The following is a 17,328-nucleotide window of genomic DNA, read 5'->3' on the forward strand; positions in this document are numbered from 1 at the left end:
GAGGGAGTTTCACTCTTGTCACCCAGGCTGGAGTGCAGTGGTACAATCTTGGCTCACTGCAACCTCCGCCTTCCCAGGTTAAAGTGATTCTCCTGCCTCAGCCTCCCGAGTAGCTGGGATTACAGGCACCTGCTACCACACCCAGCTAATTTTTGTATTTTAATAGAGATGGGGTTTCACCATGTTGGCCAGGCTGGTCTCGAACTCCTGACCTCAAGTAAGCCGCCTGCCTTGGCCTCCCAAAGTGCTGGAATTACAGGAATTGGGTGTAATTTTTATATAAAATAGATGATGTATTTGTATGCTTCTGCTTTTCTTTTTATTTTTTAAATTTCATTTTTTTATTCTTTTTCAGAGAAGAGGTCTCACTATATCACCCAAGCTGGTCTCGAACTCCTGCGCCCAAGCAATCCTCACACCTCGGCCTCCGAAAATGCTGGGATTATAGGCATGAGCTGCTGCACCTGGCCTGCTTTTCATTAAAACTTCAACCTATTTCTAAATTGCCATTAAAAAAAAAATTGAAAGTTTCCAAATTAAACCAAAGTTTGTTTTTCTTTTTCTTTCTTTTACCTTTCATTGTATTTCCCAACAGTTGGTCTGCCTCAGACTCATATACAGAGACAGAAACAGTGGTTTCTAAGAAAAACAGGGCATCGTTTTCCTTGGTGGATTCCGTGAAGTCTCCCGTACTTTGGAGCAAGTTCACAATGGAAACTTTCATGTCTTCCATCAGACTTGTGGGGGTAAAGGAACTTTGATCAGTGAAAGCAGGTGATCTCTCATTCCCATGCGCTATTAGCAGGGCTGTGCCCGTGTGTGTTTCCCCTTCAGGCAGCCCCAGAGCCACCTGTGCAGCCTCTGTCCAAGGCTGGCCTCCTTCCATACCCTCATGGCTTACTTGTGCTGTCTGAGACATCTCCGTTCTCACCTGAGTCTCTTCATTGTCTCCAAGCTTGGGGGTCCTTATCCGGCTTACACTCTCTAATTTGGTGTCATCCCACTCATCACTTAAGGCAGAGGCAGCTGGAACAGCTGTGCTGACACTCACTGTGACTTCTGGGGCTCCCAGCAGACTATCAGTTTCTGGCTCAACACTCAGGGTGTACTCGGAAGTTTCGAGTGGTTGCTTGGTGGCAGCAGCCTGGGTGTTATCAGCTGTCATCTGCGAAGGCTTCTCCTTATCAGGGGTGAGGCTTCCAGGCTCACTGCCTGCTGTGGACTCAGCACCAGGAAAAGAAGTTGTCCTGTGGTCTGTGTCTGCTTCAAATTTCTCAGTCTTTGGATTGGTGGTTAGCATTTCCTTAGTATTCACATAGGATGAAGGTGAATGTCCCAAACCAACTCCTTCCTGACTTTCAGTTGCAAATGATTGATTATCCATATACTTCAGAAAACCTTTTGTGGTTTCTGTGATCTCTTCTACAATGGGCTGAAAGTTAGTGCTTGTAAGGAGTTCCTCCTTTTCATCAACAGTCAGAGAAGGAGTCGCAGTGATAGCAATGGTTAACATGGCCTTGGCAAGTCCACTTTCAGGAGATATTCTCTCTGGCTGGCTGGAACCAAATACTTCTTCAGCTGAGGGGACACCTGACTCAGTAGGTGTGGAAACACCAGGGCGTTCTGTTTGCATGAGCCCAGCTTGTCCAGGCTGGGTTTCTTTGTTAATCGAGAATGCTTTATTTAATGATGTTGCCGATGGTACTGCTGACATCATCATTGGATCTTCAGAGACCACCAGTTGGGGAGTCTGCTTTGAGGTAACAGAGCTATTTTCTAGGTCATCGGTGTTCATCTTATCGGACTGCCCTTTTTCCGCATGAACATGTGCTATCTCCCTCCTCCTTTCTATTTTGGGGAAGGCCAGACATTGTGTGGCAACGCTGAAAAGCAGAAGGCTACAGAAAGCCAGACAAATGTGCAATACAATCGGTCCTCTCATAGTGGAAGAGAAATGGCACGTACACTGGCAGAGTTGACAAGTCCAGTAATTGAATCCTGCAGAAAAATAAAGCATATCAAACTGTCATATAAATACATGTTGTAAATAAGTCTCTTTAAATTAAACCATAAGTAAAATAATCTCCTTGACTTTATAATACACAGAGATGGTAGGTAGGAGAGGACTGTTCTATTTCTTTGTACCTTTGAGACATGGATAACCCAGTTCATTTCTCCCTGCTGAATTTTGCTGATTTAACTTGAGGTTCCCTAGAAAAAGGTACACATAGTTCAAGTATTAAGTTCGTTGTTTCTTAAATACCTACTTGAAATAATTTACCCTTGAAGTCACATTTGCAATATTCTCTCCAAATTCCTCTATTAACCATGTAGTCAAATGACTGTAGAAATAGCAACATGTCCAAGAAATAAAAAGTAAGTCTTACACATTCATTCAAATAACTTTTTAAGTGTTGCCACAGTCTGAATGTTTGTGGCCCCCAGAATTCATGTGTTGAAACCTAATCAGCAACATGGTAGTATTAGGAAGTAAGGCCTTTGAGAAGTGATGACTTCATGAGGACAGAACCCTCGTGAATGGGATTTATGCCCTTATAAAAGAGACCCCAGAGCCAGGCACAGTGGCTCACACCTGTAATCCCAGCACTTTGGAGGCTGACATGGGTGGATCACCTGAGGTCAGGAGTTAGAGACCAGCCTGGCCAACATGGTGAAACCCCATCTCTACTAAAAATACAAAAATTAGCTGGGAGTGGGAGTGGGCGTAGGCACCTGTAATCTCAGCTACTCAGGAGACTGAGGCGAGAGAATCGCTTGAACCCGGAAGGCAGAGGATGCAGTGAGCTGAGATCGTGCCATTGCACTACAGCCTAGGCAACAAGAGCAAAACTCCATCTCAAAAAAAAAAAAGAGAGACCCCAGGCCAGGCACAGTGTCTCACACCTGTAATCCCAGCACTTTAGGAGGCCGAGGCCAGCAGATCACTTGAGGTCAGGAGTTTGAGACAAGCCTGGCCAACATGGTGAAACCCCATCTCTGATAAAAATACAAAAATTAGCCAGGCATGGTGGCACACATCTGTAATCCCAGCTGCTCGGGAGGCTGAGGCAAGAGAGTTGCCTAAACCTGGGAGGCAGAGGTTGCAGTGAGCTGAGATCATGCCACTGCACTCCAGCCTGGACAGGAGAATCCGTCTCAAAAATAAATAAATAAATAAATAAATAAATAAAATATAAAAGAGGGCCGGGTGCAGTGGCTCACACCTGAAATCCCAGCACTTTGGGATACCAAGGCGGGCGGATCACCTGAGGTCAGGAGTTCAAGACCAGCCTGGCCAACATGGTGAAACCCCGTCTTGACTAAAAATACAAAAAAATTAGCTGGGTGTGGTGGCGGGCATCTGTAATCCCAGCTCCTTGGGAGGCTGAGGAAGGAGAATCGCTTGAACCCGGGAGGCGGAGGTTGCAATGAGCCAAGATCGCGCCATCACAGTCCAGCCTGGGCGACAAGAGTGAAACTCCATCTCAAAATAAAATAAAGAGACCCCCAAGAGCTCCCTGGCCCCTTCCACCATGTAGGACACAGCAAAAAGGTGCCTTCTATGAACCAGAAAGTGGGCCCTACCCAGACACCAAATCTACTGTCACCTTGATCTTGGACTTCCCAGTCTCCAGAACTGTAAGAAATAAACTTCTGTTGTTTATAAAAATCCAGTTTATTATACTTTGTTATAGCAGCCCAAATGGACTAAGAAAAATGGGTTTGAAAACCCTAAATATCATCATTAAATGCTGAATACCAGTTACTTTTAAGAGTTTTTTAAAGTAAGTAAATAATTTTCAATGAAAATATGTCTTTTAGCTCTTTTTCTTCAGCGAGGCGGCCGGGCTGCAGACGCAGAGATGCAGATCTTTGTGAAGACCCTCACGGGCAAGACCATCACCCTTGAGGTCAAGCCCACCGACACCATTTAGAATGTCAAAACCAAAATTCAGGACAAGGAGGGTATCCCACCTGACCAGCAGCGTCTGATATTTGCTGGGAAACGGCTGGAGGATGGCCACACTCTCTCAGGCTACAACATCCAGAAAGAGTCCACCCTAAACCTGGTGCTGCGCCTGCGAGGTGGCATTACTGAGCCTTCCCTCCGCCAGCTCGTCCAGAAATACAACTGCGACGAGATGATCTGCTGCAAGTGCTATGCTTGCCTGCACCCCGGTGCTATCAACTGCCACAAGAAGAAATGCGGCCACACCAACAACCTGTACCCCAGGAAGAAGGTCAAATAAGGCTCTTCCTTCCTTGAAGGGCAGCAGCCTTCTGCCCAGGCCCCATGGCCCTGGGGCCTCAATAAAGTGTCCCTTTCATTGACTGGAGCAGAAAAAAAGAAAAGAAAATATGTATTTTAAATGCTTAAATCATTTGTTATTCTCTGCCACAACTATAAAAGTTACAGGCAAAACATGTTTCAAAATTTAAGGATTAGAAAAGGTTTAAGAGTTAAGCAAGGTTAATAGTTTCAGAAAAAAACAAAATATACTTTAAAATTAGCAATCTTTATTGAATACCCATTATTATAAGATAAAAAAATTATTGTAGTATTTGAAATAAACTACTCACATTCTCATTACAACTAAAACTATATTAAAATTGTTAATTTACCCCCAAATTTAAGGGTTTCAGTTCTTTTTTTAATCTATTTTGCTGAGTAGGGCCTTTTCTTTTCCCATCATCAGAAATTTCTCAGAGATGCTGCAAGTTTTCTAGAAAATTAAACCTTGAAACTAAAATTCTAAAATAAAAACCTCAACTTCATACAGTTTACATTTTTTTCTTGCTTTCATGTCTAATCATTCAATGATCTAAGTTAAGCAAATGATGTGCACATGTGAAATTTAGAAATTTCTTTTCATAAGGCCTTCTTCCCTTAAGGAGTTTCAAAGCTTCCATGTGTTATCTCATTTAGTCTTATAGGTCCTTTCAAGAAAGAAGAAAGGTAAAGTCCTCAGGACATGATCTACATGGCTGAAGACAAAAAGAAGCCGGAATTTTCCTTCCTTCCTCCTTTTTTTGTTTCTTTTCTTTTCTTTTCTCTTCTCTTTTCTTTTCTTTTTTCTTTTCTTTTTGAGATGGAGTTTCACTCTGTCACCCAGGCTGGAATGCAGTGCGAGTCACTCACTGCAACCTCCGCCTCTTGAGTTCTTGTGCCTCAGCCTCCCGAGTAGCTGGGACTACAGGCGTGCACCACCATGCCTGGCTAATTTTTGTATTTTTATTAGAGACGGGGTTTCACCATGTTGGCCAGACTGGTCTTGAACTCCTGACTTCAAGTGATCCACCTGCCTCAGCCTCCCAAAGTGCTGAAATTACAAGCGTGAGCTCCCCTCCCCTTCCTTTCCCTTTCTTCTCTTTTTTTCTTTCCCCAGGCTGGACTTGAACTCCTGGGCTCAAGCAATCCTCCTGCATCAAGCTCCTAAGTAGGTAGGACTACAGGCACATACCACCACACAGCACAAGAAGACTGACTTTTTCTACGTGAGAAAAAAGGAATCCATGGATTTAGAGCTAAGGCTTCCTGCCAACTACCACCACCACATGAGTGTACCATCTTGGAAATGGGTCCAGCAGCCCCAGTCAACCCTTCAGATGACTGCACCCCTGGCTGACATCTTGACTACACCTTCTTGAAAGACTTTGTGCCATAACCACACAGCTAAGTTACTCCCAAATTCATGATGCATAGAACTGGTATAAAATAACAAATATTTATTGTTATTTCAAGCCACTAAGCTACGGGGTAATTTGTTACACAGAAATCTTGAGTCCACAATGCTGCAGGGAAATACAGGAATGGAATGACAGCACGAGTACAATAGTGTCATGTGCAGAAAAGAAACAGCCTATCAGGGATTACAAATTTAGCTGAAGAAAACTGAAGCCAGAGATGACTAGAAGAAACATAAGTCCCCAAACAATCTGCAAGGATAATGAGACGGGTGCTAAGTTTCCCCATATGCTGATGGGGGTTTGAAACAAACATATCTGAATATTAAATTACATGCTGGTAGCTAGCATTGTTTTTGTTTATTTGTATGTTTATTTTTGAGATGGAGTCTCACTCTGTTGCCCAGGCTGGAGTGCACTGATGCCATCTCGGCTCGCTGCAACCTCTGTCACCCAGGTTCAAGTGATTCTCCTGCCTCAGCCTCCCAAATAGGTGGGATTACAGGTGCTCACTACCATGCCTGGCTAGTTTTTGTATTTTTAATAGAGACAGGGTTTCACCATGCTGGCCAGGTTGGTCTCGAACTTCTGACCCCAAGTGATCCACCCACCTCAACCTCCCAGAGTGCTAGGATTACAGGCATGAGCCACCGTGCCCATCCTCTTTTTTTTTTTTTTTTTTTTTTTTCTGAGACAGAGTCTTGCTCTGTCACCCAGGTCGGAGTTTGATGGTGTGATCTCAGCTCACTGCTCCCTCCACCTTCCAGGTTGAAGTGATTCTCCTGCCTCAATTTCCTAAGTAGCTGGGATTACAGGTGCCCACCATCACACCCAGCTAATTTTTGTATTTTTAGTATGGACAGGGTTTAACCATGTTGGCCAGGCTGATCTAGAACTCCTGACCTCAAGCGATCCACCCACCTCAGCTTCCCAAAGTGCTGGGATTACAGGTGTGAGCCACCACACCTGGCCACACTGTTCTTTTTAAAAAAGAGAAAATGGCAAAGATATTTGATAAAGAGGAAATAGCATGTGCCACAGCATGTCAACATTCTGGACATTAGTTATCACTGTACTTTAGATGAGCCAGGATGCACTCTAGTTCATAGCCAGGTAACAGATCACTGAATTTGGCTTGATGCCTCTATTTGCCTTCCTTAAAACAAAAACGTAATGAAGGGGCCAGGTGCAGTGGCTCATACCTGTAGTCCCAATACTTTGAGAGGCCAAGGCAGGAGGATCATCTGAGCCCAGGAGTTTGAGACCAGCCTGAGCAACATGGCAAATCTCATCTCTACAAAATGAGCCAGGCACACACCAGTAGTCCTAGTTACTCAGGAGGCTGAGGTGGGAGAATCACTTGAGCCCAGAAAGTCAAGGCTGCAGTGAGCCGTGATCATACCACTACACTCCATTCTGGGCGACAGAGAAAAGACCCTGTCTCAAAAACAAACAGACAACAACAACAACAACAAAACATATGAGGCCTGGCGCAGTGGCTCACGCCTGAAATCCCAGCACTTTGGGAGGCCAAGGCGGGTGGATCACGAGGCCAGGAGATTGAGACCATCCTGGCTAACACGGTGAAACCCCGTCTCCACTAAAAATACAAAAAAATTAGCCGGGCATGGTGGCGGGCGCCTGTAGTCCCAGCTACTCGGGAGGCTGAGGCAGGAGAATGGCGTGAACCCAGGAGGCCGAGCTTGCCGTGAGCCAAGATCGCACCACTGCACTCCAGCCTGGGTGGCAGAACAAGACTCCATCTCAAAAAAAAACAAACAAAAAAAATATGATAGCTGTGAAACAAGAGAATTGACAGTCAATGAAATTACACCTTCGGATTTCTGTTCAGACAAACTGACCTACTAAATTCTATCTATATAGTCGAACAGTCATAAAAGCTATAGAACTCTGTGGTTCATTTCTGATCTGTTCAGATAGCTGCCCCTTCCTAAACAAATACTTTTTCTATTCAGTGAAATCTTACTAAACGTGTGGCCTAAAACCTTGGCCCACATGATCCCATACTTCTGAATAAAAATCTGAAAGCCCCAGGCCATCATGAATGGTAATAGAGTTTAGAGGGACTTGGGCTGGCATCAGAAAAATGATTCCTGAATCTTAGCTTTATTGACATTGAAACTTGCTATATGATACTGAGCAAGTGGCCTCAGTTTCTCCTTTGACAAAATGAGGAATTAAAATAATCATTCAAATCCCTTCTTCATCCATGATTTTATTCTCATACCTCACCTATATGACATGAAATAAAAATACAAATATTTCTATATTCCTATAATGTTGCCATCAACTAGGAAAGGCACTCAAATGGTGGAGCAGATGCTTTATGTGCTATGTGTATGTTCTGGAGTCATGTGGACTGAGAGAAAAATTTTACAAACAAATCAGATCAAGGGAAGAAGGGATAAATAATAAAGACTTAATACAGCCCCACTGCCTTTCCAAAACATAATTTTCCTTCCAAGTTTATTTTCATCTGTATCTTGGGTTTTAGAATTTTTGCGTGAAGGGAATTCTGCTATTGCTCCAAAAGACTTGCCTTCTGTGATTGTCAGCCACCTGCTTTCTAAATTCAAATACAACAGAAAGAGTGGGGGTGAACCGCAAGCCTTTGCTTTTCTCCCCCCTTTTCAAAGGCATTGATGAAAGCTTTTTCTATGTCTGTGTATTGAGGCCATATGTTCCCTCTCCCCACTATCGAAAGCAACAACTATACGTTAAAAGGAAAAAAGACAGCCTGTAAAAAGAATAACAGAAAACACGTCTGGAACTCAGATAAACTGATAGATGACCTTCAAATTCCAGGATTTTCTCCATCTTTCAAAGCCCAGTATAGGTTCATGTAGTCACTCCCATTTTTCTAATGTCCCACAATGGGAGTTACATGATGCTCAAGAATAAACGAGAAGACTGTTGTCAGTTCAACAATATTCCTAAACCTAAATAACCATCTGCAACCATATTTTGAAGGCTATGAGCCTTTCCTTTTTCCTCAACACTGTATCCCCTTCCTGGCAATGTGCCTGGCACAGAAGAAATGCTCAGTAAATATTGGCTGAACAAACAGATGAATGTCTATAGCCCACTTTGCTGGGAGAAGTGGAAGGAGGAGAGATTCCATTGCATATTAGAATTCTGTGTCTTAATTATCTTCAATTAACTCAATCATAAGAATGTTTAACAAACAAACAAAAAGAACATTCCTCTTCCTTTTCCCTCCCACTGCGTATTTGGATGCTGCTTTCTTTTCACTGTATCTCTCCATGCAAATTAATTCAGATAAATAAGCTCTAACCAAATTACCAACTGATGTTGGATATCAGCTTTGAATAGCTTAAAAAGCATCTCCTTCAGAGCAGGTCAGTAGCACTTTGTCTATCATTTGCTATCAAGCTATCTATCCTAATAGCTTGGCAGTCTTCTAAACAATTTACTGCATTTCTGCCACCAGTGAGCAAGATAAGCTGTTCTGTCAGGCATTATCTTTGACAATCTTACATAGCTACAGTCCAGAATCTGTTTCTTTGTCAAGTCTAGGCATATTCAAGTTTCAAAGACAAACGAAAGGCAACATAAAAAATACCAGCCTTGGCCATCTGGTTAGACTTAATCAGATTTTGTAAGCACTTGGTCAATATTTTTTCCAACTAAAATGAATACTGCTATTTCAGTATGTTACCAAAATGAAGACACAAAAGGGAAACCAATATGTTAAATCATTCTCACCAGTGATGAAGCTACTACTTCCAGTGTCAACTGAGTTTCATATATAATATTAAGGCACAATGAGCATCGCCCCAAGAGTGCTCAAGACACAGGAGGGCTGTAGAGTGTGCCAAGAAACTGGTGACAGTTCGCTTTATATTTTCCTTTTCTTATGATATACACAAAAACTACAGAGAGCTGCTATGGGGTAGGTGAAGAAAGCTACCTCATCTTGGCTTTTCATTGTCAACTGGAAGTTACTTTGATGACACTTCAAACACAACCATCTTCATCTGAACTTTGGTGGCCACCTTGAACTCTTCTCTCCTTTACATTCTAGATTCACAACCGCTGTGGATCCTCCTCTCATAATCTCTTTTGGAATTGTAACTTCTGATCACCTCATTGGATAGTTATTTTAAATGCCTCTTCATTGATAACCTTGTCTAGGCTCTCTCCTCTCCAATCTATTTTATACAATCCAGATGGTTTTTTTTTTTTTTTTTGATAGGAAGTCTCACTCTGTCTCCATGCTGGAGTGCAGTGGCGAGATCTCAGCTCACAGCAACCTCCTCCTCCCAGGTTCAAGCGATTATCCTGCCTCAGCCTCCTGAGTAGCTGGGACCACAGGCGCACGCCACCACGCCCAGCTAGTTTGTGTGTTTTTAGTAGAGACGGCATTTCACCATGTTGGCCAGGATGGTCTCAATCTCTTGACCTCATGATCCGCCCACCTCAGCCTCCCAAATTGCTTGGATTATAGGTGTGAGCCACCACACCCAGCTGGTTTATTCTTAAGAATAAAAATTGCAATAATCAATCAAAGACAGCTACCACTTAGGAGCTGCTATGTGCCAAGCGTTCTAAGTGCCCAGTGGAAATTATCTTATTTAATCCTTACAACAACCTAATGAGGTATACTGTCGTTATTCCACTTTTTAAATGAGGAAAACAACAGGCTGGTAGAGGATAAGTAACTTGCCTAAGGGATAGTGTCTGTTTTTGATCTTTTGGATTCTGTCAGAATTCAACGTCCCTACCTTTGCCAGACAACTCTCTGCTTTCCCAAAACACAGCATATAATGTCCCCAAATATGCAATTGCCAAAATCCATCTCTAATAAGGCAACCCCATACCACTGGTGCCCAGTATAAACACCATCATCAGTCACATACATAGCACTTTTATGTGCCATACTCATCTCAGGCTCCTAAGTTGGTTTTTTGTTTGTTTTATTTTCGAGATGGAGTCTCGCTCTGTCGCCCAGGCTACAGTGCAGTGGCATGATCTCGGCTCACAACCTCCACCTCCCAGGTTCAAGCAATTCTCCTGCCTCAGCCTCCCGAGTAGCTAGGATAACAGGCATGTGCCACCACACCCGGCTAATTTTTGTATTCTTAGTAGAAATGGGGTTTCACCATGTTGGCCAGGCTGGTCTCGAACTCTTGGCTTCGTGATCCACCCACCTCGGCCTCCCAAAGTGTTGGGATTACAGGCGTGAGCCACCGTGCTCAGCTCTCAGGCTCCCAAGTTTTGAGAATGACACTGTACGACCCATGGTTCCCTACCCAGGTATCCAAACCCTGGCCTCCCAGGTCACATCCCATTCTGGCCCATTCTTTCCCCACCCTTCTCCTAGCTCCTGTAGCATGAATTGTCATTTAAGTCTCAGCACCTCAAATGAGATTATGTTCTTTGCATACAAACACTAGTCTTTACCATTCCTTTGTTTGCCACATAATTAGTAATAAGGGTAGGCACAAAGAGGAGAGATTCCATAAATATTTGTTGGCATGATGTGAATATAAATAACCATTTAAGAATATGAAAAAGAACGTTTCAAGTCCTTATTTTGTACTGTAAGATTTTTTTAATGACATTTCATGGTCTAACCATGTCTACTTGTATGTTTTATTCAATACCTAGCCAATTTTGGCTACTTATTTAACTGTCACTCTAACAATAACAATAACTTATGTGTTCTCATTTCTGCTATATTTTAAGGTTTCAGAGTTTATTACACACACACACACACACACACACACACACACACGCAACAGACCAACAGTTACAGGTAACAAGTCTCACAGCGTCAAGTCAACATGCTTGCCAAATACCATCTCACCTTTTGAAATACAATTAGTGATTCTCTGATGAGGGGGATAGTGTCTTAATAATCTTTGTGTCTTAATAATCTTTCCATTTTGTGTCTTAACAATCTTTCCACTTTGTCCTTTTCATGACCATTCCTCAATGATTAATTTATCATTGTCTTACTTTTTCTTTTTTTAAATCCTTAAGGCTGTTACTGCCAACACTATTTTATTGCCAATACTATTGTATTTACTTAAAGCTGAGCTTATAAAGACTCTCACTCTATTAACCCAGCTGTGGCAAATGGCATTAAGGTACCACGTTTCTGATTCACTGTGCTACTGACAATCATCACTGGTCTGTTATATTGGCTTTAGGATCTAGGCTGCAGCTATACTTCACCATAAATTAAATAGCTGAATGACAAACAATCCTTTCAGCAGCATGTTCCATCACAATGGAAGGAGGGAGAAGGAGTAAGTAACCACAAAGAAAAGCATGGTCCCCCAGGAGGAAAGCAGCCCCAGAGCTGGCAGGGAAGAGGGTAAGTAGGCTGGGGTCAAAATAGCTAAATTACTGGAAACTAAATACCAGTAAAAAGTACTTTACCATCCCTGAAGACCACACCTAAGTTCTACATACTGAGCCCAGGAGCTTCAGTCTCTACAAATTAGTGATGTAGACAAATGAAGATATCCGTGCTTATCACCCCTAGCATATCATCTCATCCCTGGTAAAAGGAGATGGACTTGAAGATTTAAAAACAGGCTTCTTCGAGTTCCAGTTCTACCTTAGGCAAATCACTGAAACTCAAGTTTTCTTGTTGCAAAGTAGAAATAATAATGCTGGTTATATTTTTTCAAAGGGTGGAGAACACACACAAAAGTGATAATAGACATAAAAGCAGTTTGAAACAAAAGTAAATTATCATGCAATAGAAGACATACTAGCATGCTACTGACATGCATTCCTGTCAAATACAGAAATGTGAGCAATTTGGAGCATCTGTAACATCAGCCACAAATGGAGTAGCATTTTTTTCCCCAAGGTACTTTCATGGAGCTTCTCCTTTCAGCTTTATCATGTAGACAATGTGACCTGAGAGGGTTCTGCTGTCTGCAGAATCCTATCCTGATGAATCTTGATCAACAAACTCTTCTCCATCCATCAGACAGTTTATTTCAGTGACCCAATTGGACATATCATTTCTGGTTTTTGTGGTACACAAATGTAGCCATTTGCTTGGCTAGATCTCTAAGTAGCTGACATTTAAAGGGAAGCTGAAACTAGCTTCAGATACTTCTCTTATAATCACCAAGTAAACACAATATGGAAAAATAAGATTGACCTCACATCTTGCTTAGGGAATGAGTTTTCATTTTACAAAAATTAAAAGCAGTTTCCCTCTGCATAGACAGCTTCCCTATGTGAGAAGTTTTTTAAGTTCAATTAACAAAAATACAATTCCATACACCACTTTTCAGACAAACATCTACAGAATAAAGGGCAAAGGACACCTTTAGGTGGGGAGTGGACATTTTCCACAGCAGATAAACCCGTTTTCCTCATTTTGATTCTACACTTATATTTAGCATCGAACCATTTCCGTAATACCAAATTATAATATTGTAAAGGTCTGGCAGGAAACTCCGGAATATGTAGTAAGAAGCCTCCCATGAAAACAAAGACAAATTCACATCTCTCTAATTGGCTCCGTTGCTGTAGCTACCTTAGACTTGGTGAGCCTTGGGAGTTTCTATGAATAAACTCAACTAATATCAAATCTGTCTGCTGCACAAGTGCTCGGTTCATTATTGTGACAAATACAAAAAAAAAACCACTTTATTCATAAGAGCAAGTCAGAGTACCTTTAAACCTCTGTGTGTAAAAGAAGCAATGTTCTGATACTGTGAAACCTTAGCCGGTTGTGTGTTTCAATAGATGCTACTGTGGGGTTCTACTGGCATACGTGCCGAAGTCAGTCAATGACTGTAGATGCTTGGCTAAAAGGAGACTCCCTGGAGCCCAACAGCATCACTTGTGATCAAGGAAATACACCAAAATAAAGAGAAGGCATGTGAATTCTGACCACTCAAGAATTTTTGCCCTTTGGAGAAGAGATCCTTCAGAACCCTAGGGATGGTTTTGTGAACCACTCCCCACTCCCCCTCAAGTTTCAAACTAAAACTTCCAAAGAAAGAAGGCAGACACTTTAAAGCAGCCATCTCTCCTCTCTTCCACATCAGTTCTGCACTGAAATTGGATGCCAAGTGCTAGGCGGATCCTCGGGATCATCTCATCTTTGAGAACCCAAACTCTTAAGGGTCCTGTTTTGTTCACTCCTGCTTGCCTCCTCGCCAGCCAAGGTTCTACATGTTTGGAATCTACACAAGTCAGATTCTGTCAGTGACCACGAGGCACATGAGACATTTGGGCACCTCCGGCAGCACCTCCCAACTATTCCGGAGTCTCAAGCAGAGCCTCGCCTCCCCCAGGTCTAACCCGCAGGCCCTCTTTCTAATTAAGTGACCTTTCCAAGGAGCGTCCTCCAGCCGCGTCCTGGGGGACGAGTCAGGGGCTGAGCAAGGAGGCTCGACATCTCTGCGCTAAACACTCAACTGTTTGTTTTCTGCAAAGTGGCAGGACATATTTCGGTGGTGACCGCAGCAACGATTCGCTCCTCGATTGTTAGGCTCTGAGTGGCATTGGGGACACTGCGATCGACGGTTTGAAAGGAGTAAACCGTTGTTTTCGGGAACTTCTCTCTCACTGCTGTGGGATTGCGAGCGGAGGGAGAAAGAGAAAGAAAAGCCCACACAAAAGCAGCCAGCCCTGCAAGCTCCGCCAGCACAAAGGCCGGCTCGCTGGTGCGGAGCTGGGAGGCTGGGCTGGAGCTAGGAGTGCGGTGAGTCCTCCGAGGCCTGCGCGCCGCGCCCAGCGCGCCCAGAGCTGCCCCCGCGCACCCCACACCTGGGCACCGCGCTCCGGAGGAGGATCGGGGCGCACGCCTGGCGCACCCAGGGCTGCAACGCTCCCGGGACTGTTACGCTCGCGGAGCGACCCCACGCCACTGAGGCTCCGGTTCCGTCCCTGCCCCGGCGCCACGTCTGCAGCCGCGGCCGCCCAAGTGGCCGGAGCCGGGCCCGTCCTCACCTGTGCGCCTTCAGCTGAGCAGCGCGCGGAGGACAGAGGCAGCGGCGGCGCGGGCGCTCGGCATCCCAGCGGCGGGCCCTGCGGCGGCGGCGGCGGTAGCGGCGGCGACTCCCTCCGCTGTCTGGGACGCTAGGGGGAGGGCGCTTCGCTTTGTTGCTTATTCATAAGGCCGCGGCTACGGCCGGGGATTGGGCGGTGAGTAGGTGTGCCCGCCCTGGCTCTGCTGGCACTGACAGCCGACGCCGTCGCCCACGCCCCCCTGCGCCCACTTCCCCGCCTCCGCTCTCCCGCGGGGGCGGCTTCTGCTGGAGTCCCGGCACCTGGGACCCCTCGGAGATCCCGTGCTCCGCTTCCCCTCTTTAAGCGGGAGCTTCTGCGGCAGCTCGCCTCCCTATCTACGCGGAAGAGACCAGGGCACCGTTTACACGAGAAAAACCTCAATTTTGCTGTCTTTGGTTCAGGCAAGGAGCGCAAATCTGAGACTGCAGTGTTCCTTGTGGAAACTATGGACGGCTTGGCGGTGCCCTTAAGTAGGACCCTTAAAGTAACTCTACACAGAATGTCCCTTCTCAGTCCGTCGGAGAAGTTGCAAACTAGTGCTAGTCACAAGTAAGGTTTATTGAGCCCTTACTCCTGCCAGGCACAAGAGTAGATGCTTTGCCCATTACTTTACCTGCTTAATCTGCACGATAGAAGGGTAGATATTGTAGTTCTCATTTACCAGGGTAGGAGGTTAAGGCTAAGGGCTGTGTAACTTCTCCAAGGTCATCCGGCTCGCGTGGCCACCGGGAATTTGTGTCCTCCATTCTTGAGCCTCTCAAGGACTGTTTTCTTTTTCTGTTACTTCTAATGGTGTGGAAAGAGGTGTCGGAATCTAAAGGCCCGTTTTGGAACAACCTCCACAACGCAGCATTTTACATTTGCAGAGCACTCTTCACATTTGTCCCTTATTGTGCTTATTAGCTCCCTTCTTCATAATACCTTAGTCCCCTTTTGTAGTTAATTATAAACACCTTGAAGTCAGAGCAAAAGCTGGCTCACCTTTGACCCCCACACCTAACACAATGCACAGGTATGTACTGGTTTCTGTTTGTTTGTTTGTTTGTTTTTGAGACAGGATCTCACTCTTTCCCCCAGGCTGGAGTGCAGTGGCGCCATCATGGCTCACTGCAGCCTCGACCTCCTCCTGGGACCTCAAGCCATCACCCACCTCAGCCTCCTAAGTAGCTGGGACCACAGGCATGCGGCACCACGACTGGCTAATTTTTTATTATTATTATTATTATTATTATTATTATTATTATTATTATTATTGGTAAAGATGGGGTCTTCCTATCTTGCCCTGGCTAGTTTCAAACTCCTGGACTCAAGCGATCCTCCTGCCTCGGTCTACCGAAGTGTTTGAATTATAGACATGTGCCACGGTGCCCAGCAGGTATGCACTGTTACCCATTCCCCCTCCCTTTAGAAATTATTATCTATGTATAATCATGCATTGATTAATTAGGGGAATACATTCTAAGAAATGTATCCTTAGGCAATTTTGTTGTTATGCGAGCATAATAGTATACTTACACAAACCTAGATGGCATAGCCTACTACGTACCAAGGCTATATGGTATAGCCTATTGCTCCTAGGCTACAAGCCTGTACAGCATGTTACTGTACTCAGTACTGTAGGCAATTGTAACACAATGGTATTTCTATATCTAAACATTGAAACAATACAGTAAAAATACAGTATAAAAGATAAAAAATGGTGCATCTGTATAGAGCACTTACCATAAATGGAGCTTATAGGACTGGAAGTTGCTCTGGGTGAGTCAACGAATGATGAGTGAGAATATGAAGACCTAGGACATAACTGTACACTACTGTAATGTACGTAACCTTACACTACTGACATAACTGTATACTATTGTACATAACTACACTACTGTAGTTATGTAGGCTATAACTGTATGCTACACTACTACTGTAGTGTAAACAATGTACACTTAGGCTGTACTGTAGACATAAACATTTTTTCTTCAATAATAAATTAACCATAGCTTACCTGAATTTTTTACTTTATAAATTTTTTTTAACTTTTGACTCTTTTTTTCTTTGAGACAGGGTCTCACTCTGTCACCCAGGCTGGAGTCCAGTGGTACAATCACAGTTCACTGCAGCCTGGACCTCCTAACCTCAAGCAATCCTCCTGCCTCAGCCTCCCCAGTAGTTGGGACTACGGGCACATGCCACCACGGCTGGGTAACTTTTGACTCTTTTGTAATAACACAGCTTAAAACACAAACATATTGTACAGCTGTTCAAAAATATTTCATTTCTTTATTTCCTTATTCTATAAGCCTTTTTCTATTTAAAAAACAAAATTTTAAAAGGCCAGGTGGGTCATGTCTGTAATATCAGCACTTTGGTAGGCTGAGGCGGGTGGATCACCTGAGGTCAGGAGTTCGAGACCAACCTGGCCAACATTGCAAAACCCTGTCTCTACTAAAAATACAAAAATTAGCCAGACATGGTGGTGCGTGCCTGTAATCCCAGCTATTAGGGGGGCTGAGGCAGCAGGATCGCTTGAACCTGGGAGGCGGAGGTTGCAGTGAGCCAAGATCGTACCACTGCACTCCAGCCTGGGCAACAGAGCAAGACTCTGTCTCAAAAAAAAAT

General features: G+C 44.1%; 1 protein-coding gene and 1 pseudogene across 2 annotated transcripts in view, besides 5 other annotated features; one reads left to right on the plus strand and one right to left on the minus strand.

Moving 5' to 3' along the window:
- ARMH4 (armadillo like helical domain containing 4) overlaps positions 1–14,797 on the minus strand; it is a 151,453-nt gene extending 136,656 nt beyond the window's left edge. For both annotated transcript variants that reach the window (NM_001001872.4, NM_001320173.3), the window contains exons 1-2: positions 14,659–14,797; positions 574–1,998 (exon numbers count right to left, since the gene is read on the minus strand). In NM_001001872.4, the coding sequence (NP_001001872.2) occupies positions 574–1,942 (1,369 nt within the window). In that variant the 5' untranslated portion in view covers positions 1,943–1,998; positions 14,659–14,797. The remainder of the gene's footprint in view (positions 1–573; positions 1,999–14,658) is intronic.
- Positions 3,824–4,344, plus strand: UBA52P3 (ubiquitin A-52 residue ribosomal protein fusion product 1 pseudogene 3; annotated as a pseudogene).
- Positions 14,332–14,521: a silencer, noted in NCBI's record as "silent region_5794". NCBI's record gives its function as "represses an Ori minimal core promoter by ATAC-STARR-seq in GM12878 lymphoblastoid cells {active_cell/tissue: GM12878}" and the evidence as "EXISTENCE:reporter gene assay evidence [ECO:0000049][PMID:35858748]".
- Positions 14,622–14,841: a silencer, noted in NCBI's record as "silent region_5795". NCBI's record gives its function as "represses an Ori minimal core promoter by ATAC-STARR-seq in GM12878 lymphoblastoid cells {active_cell/tissue: GM12878}" and the evidence as "EXISTENCE:reporter gene assay evidence [ECO:0000049][PMID:35858748]".
- Positions 14,622–15,029: a biological region, named in NCBI's record as "Sharpr-MPRA regulatory region 2203".
- Positions 14,735–15,029: a silencer, noted in NCBI's record as "tiled region #2203; K562 Repressive DNase unmatched - State 4:PromP". NCBI's record gives its function as "represses a minimal TATA promoter and a strong SV40 promoter by Sharpr-MPRA in K562 cells {active_cell/tissue: K562}" and the evidence as "EXISTENCE:reporter gene assay evidence [ECO:0000049][PMID:27701403]".
- Positions 14,922–14,991: a silencer, noted in NCBI's record as "silent region_5796". NCBI's record gives its function as "represses an Ori minimal core promoter by ATAC-STARR-seq in GM12878 lymphoblastoid cells {active_cell/tissue: GM12878}" and the evidence as "EXISTENCE:reporter gene assay evidence [ECO:0000049][PMID:35858748]".

Source organism: Homo sapiens, chromosome 14 (assembly GCF_000001405.40).
Source record: "Homo sapiens chromosome 14, GRCh38.p14 Primary Assembly".
Classification (NCBI taxonomy): domain Eukaryota; kingdom Metazoa; phylum Chordata; class Mammalia; order Primates; family Hominidae; genus Homo; species Homo sapiens.